Source organism: Homo sapiens, chromosome 6 (genome assembly GCF_000001405.40).
Source record: "Homo sapiens chromosome 6, GRCh38.p14 Primary Assembly".
Lineage (NCBI taxonomy): Eukaryota > Metazoa > Chordata > Mammalia > Primates > Hominidae > Homo > Homo sapiens.
In genome coordinates, this window is record NC_000006.12 from 114,363,659 (window position 1) to 114,390,175 (window position 26,517).

The 26,517-nt window shown below is 35.8% G+C and overlaps 1 long non-coding RNA gene across 2 annotated transcripts in view; it reads left to right on the plus strand.

The window, feature by feature from the left end:
* LOC107986638 (uncharacterized) overlaps nt 1-26,517 on the plus strand; it is a 131,875-nt gene that overhangs the window by 21,334 nt on the left and 84,024 nt on the right. For both annotated transcript variants that reach the window (XR_002956366.2, XR_002956367.1), the window contains exon 2: nt 7,934-8,034. This is a non-coding gene — a long non-coding RNA (uncharacterized LOC107986638). The remainder of the gene's footprint in view (nt 1-7,933; nt 8,035-26,517) is intronic.

The following is a 26,517-nucleotide window of genomic DNA, read 5'->3' on the forward strand; positions in this document are numbered from 1 at the left end:
CCACTAGTACCCACAATATGCTTTTCTAAAACGTAGGAAGTAAGGTTGGGCCTTTCATAAAGTTTGTAAGTTTTGAGATGCCTGAATTCTGGGTGAAGTACTCGTTGGATTAGATTGGAAGACTGTCCCTTAACTAGATCCAGAATGTCTCCAGTCAGAGTTGGTTTCTATCCTGTATTTTCCAGTGGATGCCTATATGCTAAATCTAAGGTTTAATATCACAACTCTTCTCTTCAGATCATCAGTTTAAAATGTTAACAACATCAGAAAGACCATGTTTAGTTATGTTAAAAGTGACTTTTTCTAAATTTCCTACTCTATCTTTTAACTTTTCTATTTCTCCATTCAAGTTTAAATGGCCTAGAAAGAAAAGGCAGTACTTACCCAGATAATACAAAGATTTGCCCTCTGGTGTTTATGGACCCCAAGTCCTCAGTCACTGATGACCTGAATTTCTAGCTTATCTGATAAATGCTGAGCTTTCACATCACCTCATTCTGAAGAGCCAAGTTCATACTGAAATAATTTTCCTTTTATTCAAAGCAAAATATCAATATGCCAAGAATAGTCTACCCCTTCAAAAGAGAAAAGTCAGGAATCTTTGAGACTATTATGTATAATTATTTTATGTTTAGCTAAGGCACTTTTTAAAAGGCTTTAAATATATACTTTAGTTTTTTTTAAAAAGAGTTTTATGTAGAGTTCAAATATTTAGTTTAACATGTTTAAGTTTCAATGATTCATGTCAAAATAAAATTACACATTAGCTAAATGCCAAACAAGCTTGACATGGAGATGAGTCAGATCTGGGCCATTCTGGCTCCAGACTGCAAAGTGCTGTTAAGTATTTCCGCATTATGCATGCCATCTCCCTACAGAGCACCCTCTCTCAGCATTCAGACCATGAGCTTAGGGGAGTTGCACTAGAAATAAGGAGAATACTCCATTTCTGTTCATTTATCATGGCTGAATTGGTATAATGAATGGTGACAAATAGGCCTTTTTCATCTACACAACAGTTACCATTACCTTTCAATGGTTTCTGCTTGTGTGTTAAAAATAGCAAGTTTAATTACACAAAAGCTGGTGGAGGCATGTGGTGTGAATTTAATGGGAGGAACCAGAGAGAGGCTGCTGGACATCAACTTTGATCCTGCATAGGGAGATAAAACTATATAAATATACACATGGAATGAGCTGTTAGAGATTACAGAAGTCATATGAAAATTTACTTCTTCACATCAGTGTTGTATTTATCTAGAAAACGTGACAGATTGAGAGCAAAAACAACTGCTAAATATGATTCCTTGATTTCCTTCTGTCTCAAGAGTTAAACACACCTCTGAATTCAAACTGTATGTGAAATGTTAATTTTGCAAGATGTCTTCAACCTAATTTCAAGAAGTGCTGAAGGTTTGATCATGGTATTTAACAAAATATCATCAGTTAGGAGAGAAGAGCCCATCATAACATTGTCAGTTGGGTAGTAAAATTCTTATATATAAAATCGACTTGATAAAGTGTGGCCCCAAAATGTAATTATTACCACTAGACAACCATTTAGAGTTATTTGACATCTATTATATGTCAATAAATCTACCTGGAGGTGGATCACAAGCACATAAAAGATTTTCTTTAATAGCCCACAGTTAATGTATTTTCCTTATCGTGATTGATTATGACATAATTCTCTGTAAATTTTCACCTCTGGAAAATAAAAAAAAAATTGATAATACAAAATGAGCTATCTTGCCAAGCACTTTGATATTGAGAAAATGCAATTTGTTGCATCTAAATATTAATGGCATGCCTTATTTTAAGTACATATTGATTTTTACTTACATACTTGTGAGACGAAGTTTATTTTATTATTTTTGAAAAAGAGTCTACCTCTGTTGAATAGGCTAGAATGCAGTGGCATAAACACAGCTCACTGTAGCCTCAACCTCTCAAGCTCAAGTGATCTTCTCACCTCAGCTTTCCCAGTAGCTGGGACTACAGGTGCCCACCACCACACACATCTAATTTCTGTATATTTTTTGTAGAGATGGGGTTTTGCCATGTTTCCCAGGCTAGTTTTGAACTCCTGGGCTCAGGCTCAAGCTATCCACCCGCCTCAGCCTCCCAAAGTGCTGGGATTACAGGTGTGAGCCATGGCACCCAACGGAAATGAAGTTTTTTTTTTTAAAAAAAAAAGAATAACTATAATAATGCGTAAAAGTATGCTCATCAGTGCTTTATCTCAATTTTCTTTAAGAATACACAAATTTGAAAACTATCTGGTATAACTATTACTCAGATCTAAATAAAGATAAAAACAACTATCACAAAAATTGCCTTAATGACCAACTGGATGAATGTGTAAAACTGCACATTAGAGAATTGTGTCACAAAATCACAAATGATGATATTTTAATGTTCTTTTATACTTTACAGTGCTTAGTAGTGTTTTTTTTTAATTGGAACAGGCGGGAAGCCACTTAAACCTACACTTGTCCTAGAGGTTTAGATGGCTTTTTGTGGGTTTTAAAATGTAAAATGGCATGGGATAGATACATTTCCCTTCCAGAGTTCTATTGTGACAACTTTAAAGAAGACTAAGAGCAAAATTATATTCTTACTATCTGTTTATTAAAATGGAAATACCATTGTTAGCTTCTAGATAAATAATATAAATCATTCTTCAGCTATTGCAACTAACTAATTAAACACAGAATTAACATTTGCTATGGGCCAGGCACTGTGTAGAAGCTGGAAATATAAAGAGTCATACATAGTGCTGGATTTTTTCTTTTCTTTTCTTTTTTTTTTTTTTTGGTGCATGAAAAAACAAACCGTGTCTTCCTGGAGTTCACAGTATCGTTGGGACGATAAGAAAATGTTAGAAAAGATGATCATATGCAAGCAACCTGGTAAATTGTTTGGGATTGAGTATAAGGATAGTTAACAAAGAAGGCAGAACACAGAAGGCAGAAAGGGAGAAGCCAGTGTGTACTGAAACATTTAGGGAAGCACTGATGAGGGTAAGGATGATAATGGTCCCAAAGAGAAGCGTTTCATCAGCCTAAAATCTATATATGTTTGTATCCTACAATTTTGAATATGTTTTGGTTTGTGTTATCAGAATAAGAACAAAGAGTCAAAGCAATGTGAGTTTGGACTCTATTGCAAATCAACCCTGTTATTAATCCCTTTTTAACTTTTGCTTTTGCAGAGGTCCTAGCAGAGAGAACTCACCCCCTACTACATCACCTTTCCTTCTCTTTTCCCAGTGGTGCATCCATATTTCTTTCCCTTCTAGCTTAAACATTTTAGAAGGATCAATTTCACAAAATTCAGAACACTCATGATTTTGGAAGGAAACAGTAGTAATACCATGTACATATAAGAAATCTTAAAGGATAATTATAAATTAGCCTTAAAAATTTTTGATGATGTCATAGATGTGTGTATGTATGTGTGTGTGTGTGTGTGTGTATAGAGCATTTCCAAGGCCATGACCTTATATGCCTCAATAGAGTGGCTAGACAAATAAGAAAAAATTATATCCTGGGAAGTTAAGGTAAGGATTGGTGTTCACTAAAGTAAGAACTTCCTGAGGAAAATATAGTTGTCTTTCAATTATAAAGGGATGATACAATTCTGAATATATTTTCCCCTGTAGCATTACAATTATGGCAATAATATTTAGATTTTCTTATATTAAACTCTTATAGTCCTCCTTAAATTTTCCCCAATTTCTACATGATTTTTTTTTCTTAAAATTAAATCACCTTATTTTGTTTTCCCATGGAAGTATGCACCCTTGGCCTCAAGATGGAAAGTTATTTGCTTTACTATTCATGATTCAGCAGGGTATTTTATGGCCAGTAAGAGTTGCAGCTTAAGTGCATATCTTCTGTACATACAGAGGTCAGAAATAATTTGCTTCATGATATAGGAATTAAAATCAATACTCTTACTTCCTTAAAAAACAAACATAACATAATGTAAATGAGAAATGAGTAAATTATTAATAGATAGGTTTATCTAAAATATAATACCAGCTAAGCAAGGTCAACTCAGAGAATAGAGCTTTAGGAAGCAGAGCAAGTTACAGGAAGTGAGAGGAAGTTAGATCCATCACCGCAGCTTTGTCTTCAGAAAGCCAATTTCACCTGAGGGGTTTCAAGCCATATTACAAACATCCTTTTAACTGTCCCTGTGAATAAGTGCCTGTTGTGATGATATTCAGCTTGAGGATTAAAAAAATGGGGAGAATAGAAGTCTTGGCCATGGTATCTTGGGGGTACTCCCAGGTTTCTCATTAACACTTAACTGGCATTCAAGGGAGAGAGAGTCCCATTGGATGCTGTCTGGGTGGTTCCAGCACCATAATTTTCATTTCCTGTGCCTTTATATTTGCTCTCTGTGCAGGATTTAGACAAATCCTATACTCTAGAAGGACCCTCTTCTTACTCTGTGCTTGATATACTTCCACCTATTGAAAAATGTAGTGAGCTGAAGCTGAAGCTGGCTGGGTTAGTTGGAGAAGGCATTTTCTTCTTCCTTCTCAGAGAACAGAGTTTATCAGATACCATGTTTCTGGGCCCTGCCCTACTTTCTGATTTCTACATAGAGTCTTGTTTTTTCTTTTTATGTCTTAAGCCAAGAATGGGTATTTCTGTGCATCTGAAAAAGCATTTCTCCTAGAAAGAGGAAGGCCGGCTTGTGAGCCTGACCCTCTTGAAAAATAAATGAATGTAAAACTCATAAGCAGTGAAGTCAGAATCAACTTTGAATTTCGCTTTCTTACCTTCTGTACATGTAATTTATTTATATTTGTGGGATCCTTTCCATCACTTTCAAATCATTACTTCCATAGCAATTTATCCTTTTATTTATTGAAACAAACAAATTTAACTTTTAGTATTGGTGCCGGGATGTAGGCATATACGAAGCAATCCCTTACCTTAAATCACTTATAATTTAATAGGAGGGACTTATACAAATGAATCATACTAAGTCACAATGAAATAATCTGTAATGAACATATGTCCCAAGTACTATGATGGCATAGGGGAGATATGGTTATTGCTAACTGGTAAGAGGCAATGCTATATGCATAATTTTGCCAATGGAGGAATAACCAGCATTTCTTCCTTTTTCAACCTGCTTGGGACCCTTTAATGCTGAGGTGTAACAGTTTTTTAAAAGTTCCCAATACAAAGAAAGGATAAGTGTTTGAGTTCATAGATATGCTAATTGTCTGATCTTATCACTATATATGTATCAAAACATCGTTATGTACCCCATAAATGTGTACAGTTACTATGTGTCAAATACCTTTTTTTTTCCAAAAAAAAAGAAGAAAAGCTTCTACTTGTTGACCAGTGAAGGCAAGGTAAAAGTTAACCAACAGAGAGGAATTATGAGCTCTATTGTTGGGTTACTGAGAGCCAGATCATAGATTTTTGATTATGTTCAGCTCATATCATGGAAGATGGCTGTTGAGCTTACGTATATGATGTGTACATATAATATTCACAATTCTAATGGAGAAAATACTTCATAAACAGGAGGGGATTTGAAATATTATCTTTCTAGCAGAGCTTTCTGAAGGAATTGCATTGCTCTTTGACAATTAAATAGATCGCTAGTAGAGACCTGTTGGACCTCAGGATCTCAGGGCCTCACAGAGACTACAGTCTAACAGAGGATCATTTGAATCTAGGGCATGAGTACTTTACCAAGAAAGGACACTAAAACACCACAAAAAGGAAAGCTTGTGCAGAGACATCACATAGGCACACAAGGTGGGAGGTAATTTATCATAATGGCTTATTTAACCACAAGGGAAAACAAGTTGGAGTGACATTGTTTTCCTCACCTCCTTCCCCTGAGGAATCCAAGAGATTACCACAGTCTTATGTAATGGACAGCAATTTTCTTCACACTATTTTGCTTTGTTCCTAGTCCCTAGCAGATAATAATAATAAATAATTCCTAAAGACTATCAATGTATTCCCTCTCAAATCTTACCCTCCTACAGATTGTATGAACTCATGAAATATGGTTTTACTTTCTGGGCCTCTTTTTCGTCATTTACCAACAACAAAGGAAAAACTAAACAATATATAATATTTAAGGCAGTTTCTAGTTAAAACAACAATATGAGTCTACAAATCTTTATCAAGATGGGTGGCACCAAGTTCCAACACGTTATGTAAAAGACATTGAAGATATACATTTCTGCATTTATACACATACATTTAAAATAATATTTATTTATTACACATATGTATATAAATGTGCCTATTTTTCTAAAATGTTGATAAATGCATGCTATGAAAATATTTGACACTATTGTTCCAATATCGTAGATTGTAAACTTTGTTAAAAAAGAGAGAACAGTGAACCAAATGTTAGAAGACTGGCATTCTAGGCTCCTCTGCGCCACTCAGTAATTTTGTAATACTGGACGTGTCACGCATACTCACTGGGCCTCGGAAGAAATTGGAGAAAATAATCTCTTTTAGATCTACAATTGTGTGAAGCTTCTATTAATCGAGATAGGAAAGACTATGTACACTGTGTAGTAACAAATTAAACTTCAAATCTTGTGGCTTAAAACAACAAAAGTTTGTCACTCATGAAAAGCCTGATTACAAGTAGAGAGATACTTGGTAATGACTGTTCTCCATGTGATGTCTCAGCTGATGCAAACCAGTCTGCTTGAATATTGTGTATCTACCACTGTATACACGAACTCCACCTTCACCATTACAGGGAGTCCATCTCAAGCCACATTGGCTCTTCTCACATTTCATTGGCTGGAACAGAATCATAACCCTCCTTAACTGCATGGTAGCTAGCTTGATATATACTTGGAAAACAACTATTGTATTAGTCAGGATTCTCTAAAGGGACAGAACTAATAGGATAGATGTATATATGAAGGGGAGTTTATTAGGAGAATTGACTCACATGATCACAAGGTGAAATCCCATAATAAGCTGTCTCCAAGCTAAGTAGCTAGGAAGCCAGTCTGAGTCCCAAAACCTCAAAAATAGGGAAGAAGACAGTGCAGCTTTCAGTTTGTGGCTGAAGACCCAAGAGTTCTTGACAAATCACTGATATAAGTCCAAGAGTCCACAAGCTGAAGAACTTGGAGTCTGATGTTTGAGGGCAGGAAGCATCCATCACTGGAGAATGATGGAGGCAAATCTGCTTATTCTGCTTGCTTCTGCCTGCTTTATCCTAGCCATGCTGACAGCTGATTAGATGGTGCCCACCCAGATTGAGGATGGATCTGTCTCTCTCAGTCCACTGACTCAAATGTTAATCTCCTTTACACCCAGGAACAATACTTTGCATCCTTCAATCCAACCGAGTTGACACTCAATACTAACCATCACAACTATAAAATGAAATTGGGTGGCCACATATTGATTCTGCCATAGTGCTAAATTAGAGCGGGGAATACATCCAGTGAAATAGTTTCTCCTGTCCCATGTTTAACATCATGGCATTTAGAACATGCTTGTTGTCCAGTGCTTTCTGAAAAAGCAGGAGAATTTTCCTCTTTACTGAGGGACACTTCAAGTTGCAGGGTGGTCCTGAGACTTTTCTTGCACTTTTGACACATTAGGAAATCTTGTATTACATACCCTAATAAGTTAGGGTATGTAATATGACTCCCACTCCTTTCCCTCAAGTTGGATGGTGAGAAATTTGTGTTCCCTTCATCAGGCACTTTGGGAGTGGGAGGAAGTGACTGGGGTTTTCATGACACGTGTGCCAAAACAAGGAGGGCTCTTGGGATATTTTTTGGAATGAAAAATATAAATGGAAAATGAGAAGAACAAAAAAAGATTAGTCTTTTTTGTTGTTGTTGTTGATTTAGAAGGTTTTCATGTCCTATGTAATTTTTGTTTTTTTTTTTTTTTGGCAGAAAGAAGTGTTGAAGAAGAGAGAGACAGAAGAAAATCACCATAAAAAGTCAGACACGAGAGCTTAGAAGTCAATTAAGACAGGGCTTGGAAGGGGCATTAGGTAGGAAATATCAGCTTTGTACTTTGCTATTTCTCTTTATCAAAGTAAAGGGACTTTATCTTGATTGAATGGCTTCCACAGAGGGGCCTAGGTGGTTTATGCAATAGAGTAGATGATGACAGATAACACACTCTGGTCAAAGCCTTTGGGAAGGCATTGTGCGTACAAAGATTTTTCCAGGGAGATTTGCTTCTGCCCACTAATTGTGGTCATGTATTTTATGGCCTTGGGAATACCATGGCCACTAGTGTAAGTCCCAGAGCAGCAGAAGCAGTGTTCAGGTCTGGTTCAGCAAAAGCTGTAGCTGCATGGACTTCTCAGGGTGTTTCTGAAACCACCCTTGAAAAAATCACTCAGGGCTTCTTAATTTTTATAACCAATTATGTATTTCCCTGCCCCATACAGCGTAATTTGCTTACAGTGGCTACTATTGACCACACCTGCCTTTTAAAACTCTCTCCTCTAATTTTTAGCCCCTATCTTTTCATGTTTGTCCCTTCATCTGGCTATTATATTTCCTTAACATCATCAGTAAACACCTTTTCTGCCAACTCTTTAAATACTAACATTGTCTGAAACTTTATCCTTGGTTTTGCTTTCTTCTCCTTCGACATGTTTTCCTTAGGTAATCTTATCTATTCTAGTAACATTCAGCTACCACCCAAACTCTTTAAAATGACAAACTCTGGGTCAATCCAACCACCCACTTTCTCCGTATCTACACCAGGGCTACATTCACTGAAGAAAATAAGAGAAAGAAGCAGTTGGTGCTACTCCACAGTGATGGTCTCCAGGCTGAGCTAGGCCCTCAACACTGCCTGGCCATCTTTATATTTTCTACAGACATAGCCCTCTCTTAATCTCTACAGGGGCAATTTTATAGCTTCTCCTACACCTATTGACAGATAACTTCACATTTTATTGAATGATTTGAAATAGAAACTATTAGACAGTTTATCAAGAAGAGGTGAATGGTCAGTGGTATTAGATGTTGCACAGAAGTCAAGGAAAAAAAGACGGGATTTATTAGCTTGGTGCAAAACTAATTCTAGTTTTTGCAATTAAAAGAAATAGCAAAAACCTCAATTACTTTTCCACCAACCTCATAGAAATAAGGCTATGATTGGTTACTTTAAGATTTTCAGCAGAGGAGTTGTGGAAAATCACACTGCAGTGGTTTAACAAAACTAATGGGGAATATGAAAGGGAACTTTGCATTCCTAAAAATGTTTAATAAAAATCTTATTACAGAGAGAAGGAAAGAGCTAAGGTAATAGTTGGAGGGCCACTTCAATGCCACTAGTGGTGGAGGGTATTCAAAAGGTCAGAGAAAATCAGCATGTTTTTATCCTAATGGAAAAGGGACCAGTAAAGACAAAAGTTTGAAAGCAATTCCTTTGCTCTAAAAACATTCTCATGGTTTTTCTCTAGATTCTCTACCGATGTATATTCTTGGTCAGAGAGATAGGAAGAGTAAGTCTCACATTTCTGGCTTAGACTGGTTGGATAGCAGGGCCCTTCACTGAATTGCAGTGGTAACTGTTTCTCAGAGTATCTGTGGTAAAGGATAAGCTTTCTGGTTTTAGTTTTTAAATTTCTTTTTCATTGCATACTTTGTAAAATGCAGTAAAAATAAATTAGTAGAAGCGTGTTAGTGCAGGAAGATGTTGCAGCATTGCCAAAGTGCTATGAAGGTTTCTAAATGCCTTCTCTTAGTTTCTGTACTTATTTAACCATGGACTAGTTCAAGTAATCCCTGACCATCACTTGTCCATTGCTCACATTTTCAGTAGCCCTGACTTAAAGAACATATAGGAGCTAGCAATGTGGAGGATGGTGATAAATTTCATTTTGGACATGGGGAAATTTAAGCCCACCTGATGGGCATCCAAACAGAAGCATTCAATAAGTAATTGGGTAAATAACATGACAGATGCTTTAGAGAAAGGTTAAAGAACCCACAAAATAATGCTGTAAAATGGAAAATTAAAATATGACATATTTGTATTATGGTAAGCTATTCAGAAGTGAAGAATGAAAGCATTAAAATTAAGTGTTCCAATATAGAAAGAACTCCAAGATATGTTATTGAGCCAAAAAAAAGTTAGGGTATGTAATATGACTTAAAATTATATTTGTATTATATATATACACACATATGTACATATATACACACGCATATACATACATATGTATACATGCATATATATACATACATATATAATGTGATATAATATATAATATGATATATATGTATGTATATGTGTGTATATATATAAATACATTGGTATATATAAATACATTTATATATATATACACACATATATATACAAACACACATACACATTTAGTAAGTCTGGAAGGTTATATGTCTGTGAACAGTAGTTACCTTTGATAAGAAAGGTAGGTTTAATGAGGAATGTGACAGGTTAGATTCACATGTTACTTTTCAAGTTAACTTCTATATTGGTTTTCTGCAGTTTTCTTTTTACAGAATTAATGCATTTTTTTGCATTGATTCTGTATTTTTTAACAGAATTAATGCATTTTTTGGGAATTAAAAATAAGAATCATACAGTTTTCATAGATAATGCAATATATTGCTTGTAAAATACATAGAAATATAAACATAATCAGTGGCTTGTTTTAGTTTCATTTTGTAGTAATTATGTAATTAAAGGAGGCAATTTAGCATCATGGATAAGAGCGCTTCAGCACCCTATAATCATAGATTCAAGACCAGCTCTACCACTTATAGAATCACTTGTGTGATCCTGGATAACTTTTTTACCTCTCAGCCTTAGTTTCCTCATCATTAAAATGGAGATAGTAATGGTGCCTACCTTGTGTTATTATTGTGAGGATTAAAATAGTTACAGAATATAATGCAGATAATATGCATAGCTCAGAGCTCAGCAAGTCTGCAAATTTATAAATGCTACATCCCTTAAGTATTTTATTGTTAGACTCTTCAAATAGGTGGAATTATATAAACTATGAAATCAGCAGTCACCTCTTTTTTCCCCGTTGTGCATTTAGATTATAATAGCAAAGCAAGAGGGCTAGATTATTTTTGTTTTCACTTTGTGTGTTTATCCATTTTTGTATGCAAAACTTAGGAGTAGGCAATAGTCAGGCCTTCGGAAAGAACATGAGTTGAGGGCCAGACAAAGCTTTAGAGTGTGGGTCTGTTATTTGCTGTGTGATCTTGGGCACATAACTTGTCTATAATTTAGTGTGCTTATCTGTAAAATGGCACTGATATTTCTTCCCTCCTTGGGCTGTTGTAAAGATTGACAGATATAATCTATGGAAAGGCCCTTGCAGAGCAGACACTCTATAAATATTGTCTTTCCCTTTTCAGAACAAGGAAGCATTTTTCAAAATTCAGTATTTCAGTATTGAAAAAAAATACAGGTTTTATTTTATTTTTTTGAGATAGGGTCTCACTCTGTTGCTCAGACTGGAGTGCAGTGGCCTGATCTCAGCTCACTGCAACTCTGGTTCCTGGGCTCAAACGATCCTTCCATCTCAGCTTCCCGAGTACCTGGGACTATAGGCACACACCACCATGCCTGACTAATTTTTGTATTGTTTGTAGTGATGAGGTTTCACCATGTTGCCGAGGCTGGTCTCAAACTCCTGAGCTCAAGCTACCCACTTGCCTCCGCCTCCCAAAATGCTGGGATCATAGGCGTGAGCTACTGCACCCAGCCCAGTATTTCAAAATGTTACTTTATATAAACCTTCACAATTAAATAAAACATATACCTGCAAATGTTATTTTTCCTTTTCCAAAATCCTGGAAAGTCCTTCCAGAGTGCACATACCATTTAATCAATTAGACAAATCTTTTTATCACATCTCCTTAACTTGTTCAATGAAAAATACACTGAAATATTTTCTTCTTGACTCCTTGTATTGAGAAACGAAAGAACTTGACAGAGAGAGGGAGTTTTAAAAGTCCTTTTTGAATGAGAATGGGAGAAATATATGGTGTGTGGAGAGGTGGGGAGCATCCCACATAATGAATCATATGCAGAATGTACAACAGAGAATTCAATACTGTGCTTCTAAAACCTCAATAGTGCTTACAGTAAGTGATATTTTTGTGGCCTTTTCTTTGCCCAGATATTTGTCATTCTGTAGTTGATTTAGAAAGAGATTCATGGAAAGTCATAATTATTTAAAGAAGGGAACAGGCAAAGTGTTCTTTTGCCATGTCTATAAATCTTTCCTTGTGCTCTGCTGAGAACTCTGCTCTGACTGTCTGCTTTAACCATGTAATAGGAGTATATCATAATGTCAGGAGTTGTCAGACCCTCAGAACTCTCCATAATGTGAGATCACAAGCAGAGACAATTTCATTGTAACATTTCTGACTACAAAGTATAAATACCATTCAGTTGGCACATTGTCATCACATCAGAATTTTTTTTTCATCCTTATACTTTAGATTTGCTGAGGTATTTAAATCTATAAAGTTAGACAAAGCAGAATAAGAAAATTAAAATTTATAATAGAATAACATTGTCAGAAGAAAACTATCTTTTTGAAAGAAAACATAAAAAGGAATTTTAAAATAAAGATTACAAAGATTTTTAAAAGGCACTGCATATATTTTCAGTTATGTTTTCATCAATTCTCTCCAGAGTACAAAAACATTTCTCAGAACAATTTAAAATTGTAGATATAAAACAATAAATCACTCAACACAAGATTTAAAAATCTCATTGAAAGCCCTGACAGAATATTTCTTTCTCATGATGAAGTTACCAACTGGGAGTATTTTACTAATTCTTCAGTTTGTTCATCTGCCTCACTGCAGACCATTATGGCTCCCATAACAGCTATTGTTTTTAAAATAGAAAGAAATTAACACTTGCATAAACTCAGATGTAAAAACTACAGATATTTTATCTTTTAGTGTGATGATACTTCTAGCAGATGTGCTTTTCTTTTATTTTGTAATAAAATATAGAATCAACCATTACAAAATGAAGACCTACATGCATTATTTTCTTCCTAGAAATACCTTACTAAAATTCACCTTTGTACTTACAGGTTAACCTCAGTCCAAAGCCTTAAATGCTTGGTTAGTGATTCACAAACAACGTCCAGGTTTTTCCCTCAGAATCAATATTTTCTGATTGTCACTGAGGAGGGAGCTTCTAAGGAGATATGTACATGAATATATATATGTTGTACTCAAAGAGGAGATACTATTCCTGTTCTGTTTTATTGTAAACCCTCTCCTCTATCTGGAAACCCAGCCTGCTTTGTTAAGGTTTGTAGTTGAGCCCCTCTCCCGCACTGCTGTGTTGGGTCTCAGCTTCCTGTCTGAGGCACATGGCTGCTGTCTTCAGATTCAGCCCCAGTGTTAATCAATAAGGGCACAGACAACTCACTTGGTCCAAATGCCAAAGCAAATCTCATTTTAAATTGTTGAAAAAAATGTGTTTTTAATAGACATGGGACAAAGAATTAGGTTGATAAATAAAAACATCGTTTGGTAAGGTGAAAATCAGACCTTAGTGTATGTTTTCATTATTTGAGGTTTTTTTTTTTTTTTTTAACATAGTTTACTTAAATCATTGACCACTCTAAGCTATCTTTCTCTGGTAAGTTCCCTGACTTTTGCAATAATAATGTTAGTGTATTCTTCTTCTTCTTCTAATTATTATTTATTATTATTATTTGAGACAGGGCCTCACTCTGTTGCCCAGACTGAAGTGCAGTGGCATTATCTCCATTCATTGCAGCCTCGACCTCCTGGGCCTTAGTGATCCTCCCACCTCAGCCTCCCAAGTATCTGAGACTACAGGTATGCACTACCATACCTGGCTAATTTTTCTATTTTTTTTTTTTGTAGAGACACGGTCTTTTGATGTTGCCCTGGCTGGTCTCAAACTCCTGAGCTCAAACCATCCTCCTGCCTCCACTTCCTAAAGTGTTGGGACTACAGGCATGAGCCACCACGGCCGACTGTTAGTGTATTCTCTGTTTATTTGTTACTTTTCATTTTACTGATAGCACATTTTTACATTAGGGTAAAGTCTGGTCAGAGTGAGGAAGGTATGGCAGATGTATCCTTCTCCGTTACATTTTAGCTTTAACAAGGCTCATCCTAAGATCTCTTTTCTCAGTTTATCCTCTCTTCCCAGGCAATCTCACCCAGGCCTGTGGCTCTGACCATGTTCATGCTTTGTCAGTTTTTATCTCCAGCCCAGCACTGTCCTCTAAGCTCCAGACTGGTATGTTCAATTGCCTATTTGGTATCTCCACATGGACATCTTAAAGACATTTTAAATTCTACTTATCCCAAACTGAACTTAATATCATTACCACCTTCCCACTGCAAACAAAACAAAATAAGATCTTTTCCTAGCATTGCTATTTCAAAGATATACAAGCCAAAACCCTGAGTCATCCTTAAAGGCTTTCTCTTTTCATATACGATATCCAATTAAACCATCTCCAGGCCCGCTGATTTTACTTCTTAAACATTTCACAAACCGACTTGTTTCTATTTTCATTGCTATGACCCTAGCTCAAGCTGCTGTCATCTTCACCTGGAAAATAATGAAAGCCACCAAAAACCTTCCACTTTATTTCTTTCAAATCTGGGCTGTACTGCATCACTATGCCATTGCTGGAATAATCTTTTTTTATTTTCTTTTAAATAAAACTTAACGTCCCATGTCAGTCTCTTGTTTAAACAATTAAATTGTTTCTCACTCATCTTAGAATAAACACCAAAATACTTAACATGGCCTTTACTGTGCCTGGTCTTCCTTCCACCTCTTCTCCAGTGTCACCTGTCACTGCATGTTCCTTCCTTTTGACTTTTCAGCCATTGGCCTTCTTCCATTCCCTTGAATACGGGACTTTGCTCTTGCTCTTCCCACTTCCTGGAAAATCCTATCCCTTCTTCATTAACACCTCCTCCCCACCACCAAACACATATCATCCTGTTAACTCCTACTCGTTGTTCAGATCTCAGCAAAATCATCACTTCCTTAAGAGTGCTGTTTTGCACCATCCTGGTCAAGTCAAATCCCCCTCTTATGCTATCAGAATACCATGCACTTCTCTTTCCTAGTGCCAGTCACAGTTTTACATTTGCTCGGGTGACTATTTTATGGACATCTTCCATATTGAATAATAGGATCATATAGGAAGGTCCTATGTCTGTTTTTGCTAGTTACTGCATCCCCAATACTAAGCATAGAGATTTCACTTATGCTGGTATCAGGGGCAATTCATATTTCTGCTTCCTTATGCTAAAGACCAGTGTCATATGTCTTAACTGTGATGCTAGTATTCTGCTTCTGTTACTTAAACATTTTTCATCCATCTCTGTCTCTTATTTTTTTTGTATCTGTGTATTATCTGGCTGAAAAAAAAAAGGGTACTTTCCTTTTGTAGGCAGAAAATGCATTATTTTTATCATTTGGACTACTTTTTGTACCCAGATCAATTTTTCAGAACAACGCTAATGAATAGATTACACTAGTCTTTGTTCCCTTCCTGGTTCTCAAGGCTACACCTTGTCATTAGCCTTCTGTTTCTTAAGACAGATCTCCATGTTCTCTATGGGTCTCAACTCCATGTTAGAACTTGCTGAGTAATTTGGCTATTTGTCAACCCAACCAATTTAGTTTTACTATTTTTTCCAGCCAAATTATAATTATCACACCTTCCTGGTAAACTCTAACTCTCAGGTTTCACTATCTCCCCAGGCCTGCTGAGCCCCAGGTGTCCACCAATACCCTGTCTTGGTTTTAGCCTTTGGAGGAATTATCTTGCCCCCATGGTTTTGGAAATGAAAAGCAAGAGTTCAAAGCCAGTGTTATTAAAAGTACTGAACTCTGTAAAATAATATATTTTATTTTCTTTCATCATTTTGCTTTTGCCCTTTCAAAAAGTAGTTGTCTATTTTGCTTTTAAACTACAACTACAGAAGAAGGGGCAAAATGACAATCTTTAATATCTGTAAATTGCAGCTTAAAATAAAAATGCTACTATTCCAAGAGATAAGTTATTTTCAGCACTTTAAAAACCTTTGGCATTTTGTGCCCACTATTTATGGATTGCATAAACATAAAGAGGTTACCCCATTAGCGATGCAATAGGGCAGATGCTTTGTGCAAGTCTTTTTTCATAGTTACTTAAAAGCATTTTTCAGGGTATGCATCTTTCTCATTAGTGCAAAGAAAGACAATCTCTGCAAAGAACAGAAGTGAAAATCTGGCTGTTGTTTTAAACATTAAAAGGTATCCTGAGAAAATAGTTTATAATTTGTTTCTAGTGCTTCCAACAAACAGATGGAAGAACCTACTATGAGCAGAGCATGATGAGAATGCTGTAGAGGCTTAAAGATTTACAAGTCACAGTTCCTGCATTCAACAGCATATTGCAAGCAGAGTATGAAAATACACTGAGTGCTCAGTAGAGACTAATTCAAAGTTAATTACACACATGTCTTAGATTGTTTGGGTTGTTATAACAAAATGCCATAGACTGGGTAAAACAGGAAAGCAGACATTTATTTATCACATTCTGGAGACTGGGAGTCTGAGATTAGGGTGTCAGCATGGTTGAGCTTCCTCACAGATGGCATCTTCTAGTAGTGTCCTTACATGGTGGAAGGACAAGCTCACTCTCTGAAGCATTTTTTTTTTTTTTTGAGACGGAGTCTCACTCTGCTGACCAGGCTGGAGCACAGTGGTGCAATCTTGGCTCACTGCAACCTCCTCCGCCTCCCCGGTTCAAGCGATTCTCCTGCCTCTGTCTCCTGAGTAGCTGGGATTCCAGGCGCTGGCCACCTGTATTAATTTATACTTAGCTAATTTTTGTACTTTTAGTGGAGATGGGGTTTCACCATGTTGGCCATGAAGGCCTCTTTTATAAGGGCACTAATTCCATTCATGAGGGCTTTGCCCTCGGTACATAATTAACTTCCCAAAGTTCCACCTCCTAATGACATCAACTTGAGAGGGTGTCAACATATGAATTTGGGGGGTGACACAAATGTTCTAACCATAGCAATACACAAATAATTCTGAGCTAAAAAAGACTTTAAAAAATCTACTCTAAATTCTTTATTTTAAAAAGGAAGAAAAGTAGACACAAAGAAGTCATGAGACTTGTTTATTATTATCCAGAACTGGATTTGGAACCCTTTAGTTCCTGTCTCATTTGGTGCATTTTATGTGCTATAGAGGAAATTTTGTGTTCTCTCATTTATTACTACTGCGAGGGATCTTTTAAGACTCCTCTTTTTAACAACAGATTATGGCCTTGAATTAAAAATTGACATTGGTGATGCAAATTTAAAAAGGAGACTCAATATGTGATAGCTTATGATATGTGTGGGTAGTTCACTGGTTTTCTTTTCCATGTGAGAGAGGAAATAAAAGAATACTTAAATCACATTATTAATTTCTCTAATATGAAAAAATTTGAAAGAATATCCAAATTAAAACAATTTCGGAAGAAGCACAAACAGGAAGTTTTTGTTTTAATATAGAGCTATCACTTTGCCATCATTATTTGAAGTCTGCTCAACATGGACAGTGTCTATTCAGCACCCAAGGCAGTGATGCCCTTAGTAAATTATGTATTTCATGATGCTATCGATAGTTTACTATTGATAACCCTAAGGAGTGATTATTAGTCTCTTGAAACACTTGTGTGGTCAAGGTTAAAGGTAAGTGTCGACCAACAATTTCTCTGCTTAGTTTAGGCACAAATTAAATGTTTTTCTTCTTCTTTTTCTTTTTTTTTTCTTGAGATGGAGTTTTGCTCTTGTCACCAGGGCTGTGTAGCAGTGGCACAATCTCAGCTCACTGCAACCTCCGCCTCCTGGGTTCAAGTGATTCTCCTGCCTCAGTCTCCCGAGTAGCTGGGATTACAGGCACCCACCATGCCCGGCTAATTTTTGTAGTTTTAGTAGAGATGGGGTTTCGCCATTTTGGCCAGGCTGTTCTTGAACTCCTGACCTCAGGTGATCTGCCCACCTCGGCCTCCCAAAGTGCTTGAATTACAGGCATGAGCCACCATGCCCAGGCAAATTAAATATTTTATATGGAAAACATTGTAATTTATCTCTGCAGAATATTCAGGTGTGCAGTAAATGTTTTAATCAAATGTTTTGGCAAAGCATTTGGGGTTAGCCAATAAGAATTTATCACTCTCATTCATATGCAAATAGAAATGTATGTTCTGAGGGTATGAAAGCTGTAAGAAGCCTCACAGAACACCCAGTCCAGCTCCTATATTTCACAGATGAGGAACCAGAGTGACCTGTTATCTTTTCCCAAGAACCGTCAATAAGCCATGTTTTCGTAGACATACAATTTTTGCGTTTGTTCCTTTTGCTATTGTAATTATGTTGACTCATTCTTCAGTCGATCAAGATTCTGCCATCTTTGTAACATGCTGTTTTCAATATGGTGACAAGATGTTTTGTAATAAGGAAGTCATTTCATTAGACTAAAGAAGACCAATAACTAATATAAGTGATATAGTTTAAATGACAGTTGCTATTACTATAGTTACTTGTGGTACCTACTCATTGGTGTGTGTGTGTGTGTCCATGTGTGTATGTGTGTCCATGATACTGGCTGTGTATATCTCTGAGTCTGTGTATGGATGTGGCATTTCTGCATGTGGTAATATTTAGATGTGGATGTGTGTATATGTGTATTTGTGTGTGTGTGTACTTGTGTAGTTGTACCTATGGTAGAATGGAGGATTCTTATTTCATAACTCCCTGTGATATGTATTATGCTCCTTAGCAAAGAGCTGCAGCCTCACCAACTGTTCTTCCCAGAGTCTGAGCTAATAGAAAGTCTGCCACATTTATGACTACATACTGTTCAAACTGAAAAATTTCCCCCTTTACCTAGGGTATTTTTAGTATCAAAGACTCTTTAGTCACTTGTAGACTTAACACTCTTTAAAAATAAAACCTTTATTTCTTTTCTGAGTGCTGCAATGTGGGCTCTTTTGGTGTTAAATGAAAAACTGACTTTGGAAGAAAGATGTACCGAAAAAAGAAATGTTATGATACTAGCACAATGACTTACTAAAGCTGTTTTGAATTGCATTAGATACTATTTTATTCCATTCCAAGTGTGAATCCAATATAAAAGCTCATGTTTACTCATTTAAAGATAAAAAAAATCACAGAAGCCAAGCGTTGGAAGAGCCTGCAAAGCCCCCGCTCCTTTATTGCCCTCGACCTCAGTTTCTCTCTTTTCTAAAATGAGAGCTTGAAGTTGTTTTTTTAGATATCATTCATCTTGTTTGCTATTCCCAAAAAATAGAAATTTAGGGATTATGTTTGCTTTTTTGCTTTTTTCATTTTGAGCAGCCTGGGAAGCCAGACCTGCATGGCATGGAATGTGTTATTTGTTCTGATCTGAAAATGAAATATCTAGTATGGTGTCCAACTCTCTTGGAGCATTATTATAAACTCATTGTTCTGTAATAACTTACAAAGACAGAATACAGAATCCCTGACACTTCAGAAGACACTTAACTTATCTAGGTCTAAAATATTGCTTATTTAGAGTCATACAAATAGAACATCAAAAAGGTCATGCTTATAGACAGAATAATTGTTCTTTTATAAAAGATGACACCTAGAAAATTGAGAAAACTTCCTACAAATCCAGTGTCTGCAAGCATCACTGAATTGTTGACATAATCAAGAATATTCATGTCAAAATACTCCAATAAAAAATTAAAGTGTAAAATCTTTAACAAAACTGAAATTTTATTAAATGAACACATTATTTAAGTTGGTAATTCATATCAATTATTAGCATGTTTTCAGTTTATACAGATTTTTCAGTTACCCAAAGCTTACTTATGAGGGAAAAAAACACTTTCTTTTTTTAAAACACTTTCTGTCTTTTCAAAAATTTATTTTACATTTGTATTATTGATTTATTTTTAATTTGATTTATGTGTATTTATTAGTAATCACTTTGTCAGATTTTATGAGGTAGGCAGATAACGACATCATGGTCCCCACTTGCCACAAATACATGAAATATATGTTGCATTTATATTCTGTAAGAAATATGATATTTCTGTCTGGAAGAAAAACCTATTGAAGAAATGGGGGAAAACAGTGCTGGATTGACAAGTAAAATATGATGAAATACATAAAAACAGAAAGCAGGGGGAAAATAAACCAAAGCATTTTCCTTCCAACATCCATCTAATCTGCTTATGTTTTCTGAGGGAAGTAATTTCTGACTCCAGTGACCACAGTTGTCATAGAAAACTACATACTAGTAACAGGCCCCACACAGTGGCTCATACCTATAATCCCAGCACTTTGGGAGGTTGAGGTGGGCGGTTTCACTTGAGGTCAGGAGTTTGAGACCAGCCTGGCCAAAATGGTGAAATCCTGTCCCTACTAAAAATACAAAAATTAGCTAGGTGTGGTGGCGCGCATTTGTAATCCCAGCTACACGGGAGGCTGTGGCAGGGAATCGCTTGAACTGGGGAGGCGAAGGTTGCAGTGAGCTGAGATCACGCCACCGCACTCCAGCCTGGGCCACAGTGCAGGACTGTCTTAAAAAAAAAAAAAAAAAAAAAAGAAAGAAAGAAAACTATATACTAGCATACTAGTAACAAAGGCACAGGGATCTTCTCCTCCAGATCAGGAGCTCGCAAATGTTTTCTTAAAGGTATGTGTGGTAAATATTTTAGGCTTTTTGAGTCAAGAGACAAATCAAGGATATTGTATAGGTACTTATATAACCATTTAAAATGTAGCCATTTAAAATGGCAAAAGCATTTTTACCTTGTGGGCCATACAAAAACAGGTGGCAGGAGAGATTCATCCTTTATTAAGGAATTGGAATTTCAAAATTCTTTATATCAATTATACAATTGAAGTTTTATAAAAATTAAATAGGTTAGCGCAGTCTTTTAAAAAATTTAAATGTTATTTTTTTCCCCTCAATATCATTGCTTCTTGACAATAAAGTTACCACTTTAAATGAGAAAAGGATATTCAGTCTTAAATTCCAAGAAATTTTCCCCACAGGAAACTTACATTGTTTTAATTCAGAGTCAATGAGGTACAAGTCAAAAGATGAACACCGAACTGATAATAGTGGCAATGTAAACAGCAATAAGAAAGGTTAAGTAGTGGGTGGTCAGAGAATTGGATTCAATGTCAATACTTTGATCCTCTGATAACAAGATAGCTTTATTGTTAAATTAATAGTTGATATAATTTTAAAAAGTTTCAGAAAAGGGAATAAACATTTAATATTTAATGTGGAAAAAGTACATGAAGACTATCTAAATATTGAGATATGAGCTATTGGAAGGAGAATGATAAATTTGCACCCAGAAATTCTTGCGCACTATATCAACTGGGGCAAATAAGTACATTCTTTTCAAGACTGGAACATATGGGAAGCAAAGACAGTCTTAGACCATCTTTTTCTGTGCTTTTATCTTAGAAGGAACATAATTTAGCAATTTTTTTTCCATTGGCATTTATAGAATTATATAGTTTTTCTTAATTAAGAAAATGAAAAGAATTCAATATTTTTGTGTGAATCCATGTAGGTGGTAAAATATATAAACAAGACAAGAAAAGATGGTACACACAAAAAAAACACAGCCTTTTCAAGCAAATTGGAAGCTATAAAACATCATATGTCACAATTTTTTTGGTGGAATGTGATGTGCCAAGCTACTTGGATTTTTTAAAAGTCAGCCATCAACTCATTAACCAGTGTCTGCAAGCAGATGTTGGCTTAAGCTGTGGTGCTCTTTTGTGTGCTTAAGAATGTGTAGATGGATATCAGCTTTTCAAATAGAAAGTAGCTACAAAACATAAAAAATGATTTCTTTCCTCAAATTTTACTTGTCATATTATGTTACATTAGATGGTGAAACAGAATGTTAACTGTGTAATGAGACAAGGATACTAAAATGTAAAGGAGAACACACTTTTTCAGCTTAGATACATGCCATCCTTTTAGACATGGGTAGCCATTCTGAAATGATAGAAGAATTTTTGTTAAATGCAAATCAGCTGCTTGTGAATTTATAATATGAAAGTTTAACAAGTTTGAAAACTTTTCAAAACAACACAAAAGGTGCATGAGTGATACTTTGCTATTTTAAACAGAGATAAAAGACTGTGTTGGCAATGCGTAGCCACTTAGCACCTGATGTTTTTCTACCAACATTAGTGTTAGTGCCCATGGCCCCTTGTTGATGTAAGCACCCCAATTTTGGGATTGCTGATGCTTTCTAATACTGTACCATGTGATTCTTTTGACAATAGTGGATATGTGGGCTTCTAGACCTCTATTAAAGTAACTGCAGTTTACCTCTCAAAAGAGAATATAACACAGGTATTTTGCAAAGCAGATAGACTGCATATTTGATTTATATTACAGTGAAAATTAATATTTATATAAAGATAAGAGAAGTTAACAAGAAAAGGCAACTGTTAGTGGAAAAGTAAAAGAATGTTGGAAGTGTACACAGATGGGTGGCTGGTGAAATCACTTTTGTTTTTAATGGAATCTGTTATTCTCTGTCGTTGAATCATTCTTACGTGTGTACTAATTGATTTTTTAACTCTTTCAATGCATCTCATAATTCTCAACATCATTTAATCTGAATAATTCTGGGTTGATTCAGTCCTAAATGATTCCAGAAAGATAATCACTTATTTTATTCTTTTAAAACCTTGTCTAGAAAGAAATATTACAAACTAATTTGGGTTAAATTCCCATCTTTCTTAAGCACTGGTTGCAGCTGTGCTCCCTGGGAAGCGAACTCTGAGACTGAGATTACATGCAAGATTGCTCTCAGAGAAGAGAAGGGAAGGGAAGATGGAGAAAGGGAAAGGGAGAAGAGGGAGGAGAAAGAAGGGAATGAATTGGATGTGAGAGCAAAGAGAGGAAAAGGAGGGAGGGGATGAAAGGGAGAAGTGGGGGAGGCAGCAGGATTGGGCAGCACAATAGGCTAAATGTTTTGTGTACCCCCAAAATTCATATGCTGAAACCTAATGCTCAATGTGATGGTATTTGGAGCTGGGGCCATGGGAGGTAATTAGGTTAGGAAAGTGGAGCCCTCAGAATGGGATTAGTGCCTTTATCAAGAGGCCAGGGCATTAGCTAGCCCTCCTTGTACAACGTGAGAATACAAGGAGAAGTTGGCAGTATGCAGTCCAGAAGAGTGTCATTAACAGAGCCTGACCGCAAGCATGATTTCAGACTTCATGTCTCCAGAACTATGAGAAGCAAATTTCTGTGTTTTATACATCAACAAGCCTACGGTACTTTGTTGTAATAGCCTAACCTAAGACACAAGCCGAAGGAAAAATTGTAGCTGTCACGGTGTCTCAATAACAAAGAGTTATCCCATACTTCAGTGAGGGTGCTGGATCCTTACATCCTATTCAATATGCTGCATAATTTACTGCATAATATACTGCATAATTTATACTGTACAGTGATATAGAGTTTATGCTATATACTATACTTTAGAAATTACACCAGTCAGTGGGTGCTGCTGCCCCAGGAAGGAGGCTTACAGCTAGGCAAGACTGCTCTCTGTAGTCCAGGACAGTTTCTTGAGAAGGCTAACAGCTGAGGACAGCTCTTCTAGCATCTGGAGAAACAAGTCCCAAAGTCTCAAAGGGGGATTTATACAGCTTGTCACACATTCACTATAGCATTAAAATGAGGAAGATTATTTTAATTTCTAACCTAAATTACTCCTATTAAGTCTAGATTTTTAAATTCTACCTTCTTTGAAAGTACTGAGTAGCTGCTTTTCCTTGTATAAGCTACACATTTCAATCATGATGGAGTGAGTCTACTAATGTAACTGAAAGCTGGATGAACAAGCCCAGTCCACTCCTTTCTAAGCTTTAAAAGCATTGCTCTTATGTTTTCTTGAATGCATTGCTCTTGTGTTTTCTTGAATGCACTGGCTAAATCTTGAACATTTATTAATTTTTTATACCATTGTTGCAAAGATTGTAAGAATAAGACATACCACATAACAATGCTTGGAGGACACGGTTATAATTTTAACTACCTGGAGAAGGCTAGCTATTTAGTAACACAATATTTTCATTTCATAGTGAACTGTGGGCAAAGATATGTATAAGCACATTTTGGGATCATACAATAGGATCTTGGGCTTATTTAATTTAGAAACAGAGGTAGTAGATATTTAGGAGAGAATAGAAAAATTTATCTTTCTTGGATTGAATAAGAAAATATTTGATGATGTAAGAAGCAATGAGATGTTGAGTACATCAGTTCTCTGTGGGGCCACGCAAGCTCAGTGACCTCCGTCAAGTGACTAAAGGACACTTAATGGGAGCTAAATGAAGCTAGGGCATTTTGTTGACCCTCCAGTCGTGAGACTATTGAGAAACCACTACTTCAACCCCATAATGTTTCTCTGAGCCACTGGGGGAATCAAATAAAGAGGATTTCCAGTCAATACTGTGATAGAGACATAACTTTCTTTTTGTTGTGTTAAAACCAACAGGAAATATAAGGAATTTGATGGAACCAATCTTATATTTCCAGGAAATATAAGATAGAACCAACAGTAAATATAAGGAATTTGATAGGATCAACAAAAAAAGTATAAGGTTTGGGTTAATGAAGTCTTTAGAAAAATAACTAATGCTGGTGAATTGGGGAAGGATATTTCAGATTTTAGGCCACCTTGGACACACTAAGGATACGCATGTTCTTCAAAAATCTGCTCATATTAGAAATATTACAATTTTCAGTTTTTAAGGAACTCAGGAAAGTTCTTCCTGATTCATATGTTTAAAAAATACATAAAGTATTACCCTGTGCATTACAACTTGATGACAGCAGCCATTCTTAGGACAGTTGTTTTATGGGAATCTTCCAGTAGCAGAGATGGGTAAACCAGAATTATAAAAAATGATCCATCAAGTTATGGAGTATTTCATTGCAAAAAAAAGAGGCTCTAAATCTGGCTAGATGAATATGTCTTTTAAAAACGACACCTTCAAAACAACTAGACAGCTTTAAGTAGGAACTTCAAGATACAACAGTAGCATAGTTTGTTTCTCACTAAACTTGCAATTTCTTTTTTTGTTTGTTTGTTTCAGATAAGAAAATGAGGCTTTTGGTGAGGATTTGTAGAGGTTGTGCTTTCCATTCTTCTCCCTCTAGAACAGTGTGAGTGTTCAGGTAGACTCTCTGTCATTCTCCATAGGCAGAAATAAAATCGCTGTTCTTTTATAGAGAAGTTGCCCTCTAAGTACTTCCAGCCAAGATTGTAAGTTATATAAATCTTGTGGAAAAGTGTGAATTTCTTCTCCAGCTACTGGAATTACCTTTGCTCCATCATAGCAAGCTTTTTTAACCCAACATTTTTCCACATCTTTGTATTTCATTATTTTATTTACTTTACACAAGTGAATGTCCATATGTTAGACCTCTGTAGAGATTTTTTTGTGCCAAAGTGGCTAATAGGCAATATGATAAGTATAAACAAATACTGAGACTATAAATGGGTCCTGCCTCTAGGCCCATACAGAACACACAGATCCTTCTTTCCTACTTCTTTTCTGTGTGAATAAACAGCATTCTTAAAATTCCTAGGATAAAGAATTGAAATTTCTCTTTCTCCTTTATTGTCTAGTATTTGACTAGCCTCAGGTTTTAGAATCTGAAAAGTTGAAATGAGTCATTAGGTTTTCAGTTGACTTGGACTGAAGAAAAAACCTAATTGTACATTTTTGCAAGATTTTAAATAAATAACATCTGCTGTCTTAGCCATGGATGATTTAATTTTTTAACACGTGCTTCCACCCTTTAATTTTCTGCAAAGCAGCCACATCAATTATTAATTCATCTATATTTCCTCAAAGCGAGTCAGACTTAAGATCCTTCATAAATATTTAAGAATACTGCTGCAAAATAAACAAAAACTTCTACTTAACTTTTAATTGCAAGTTCGAGAACCAATGCTTGCAAAAGCAACAAAAAACAAGACAAACATGATAAAAAAAAAAAAAAGAAAACCCTGAGAAGTAAAAAAGCAGAAACTAAAAGAACAAGGAGGCCAGACTTCTGTCATTGCCTGTTTTACAATGTGAATCTCATTTACTGCACATTTAACTAATGGAATAAATGGACATGGCCAAATTTAACTCAGGCCTGATGATAGCACTTAATTTTTGATAATTCACTTTTTCTCTTCCTCTTTCTTTCACACACATTGCCACACATGGTGCACACTCTTTACCATTAATACTGAACAAGTTACTAAAATAATAAATACAGGAATATGCAAAATAGCCTGCATGTAATTAAAATAATGAGGGAATAGCTCAAACTTTCCTTTCTTATTATATTAACAAGGCTTCTGAGAAAGATGCTATTATGAATTGAATTGTGTACTCCAAAAAGACATATTGAAGTC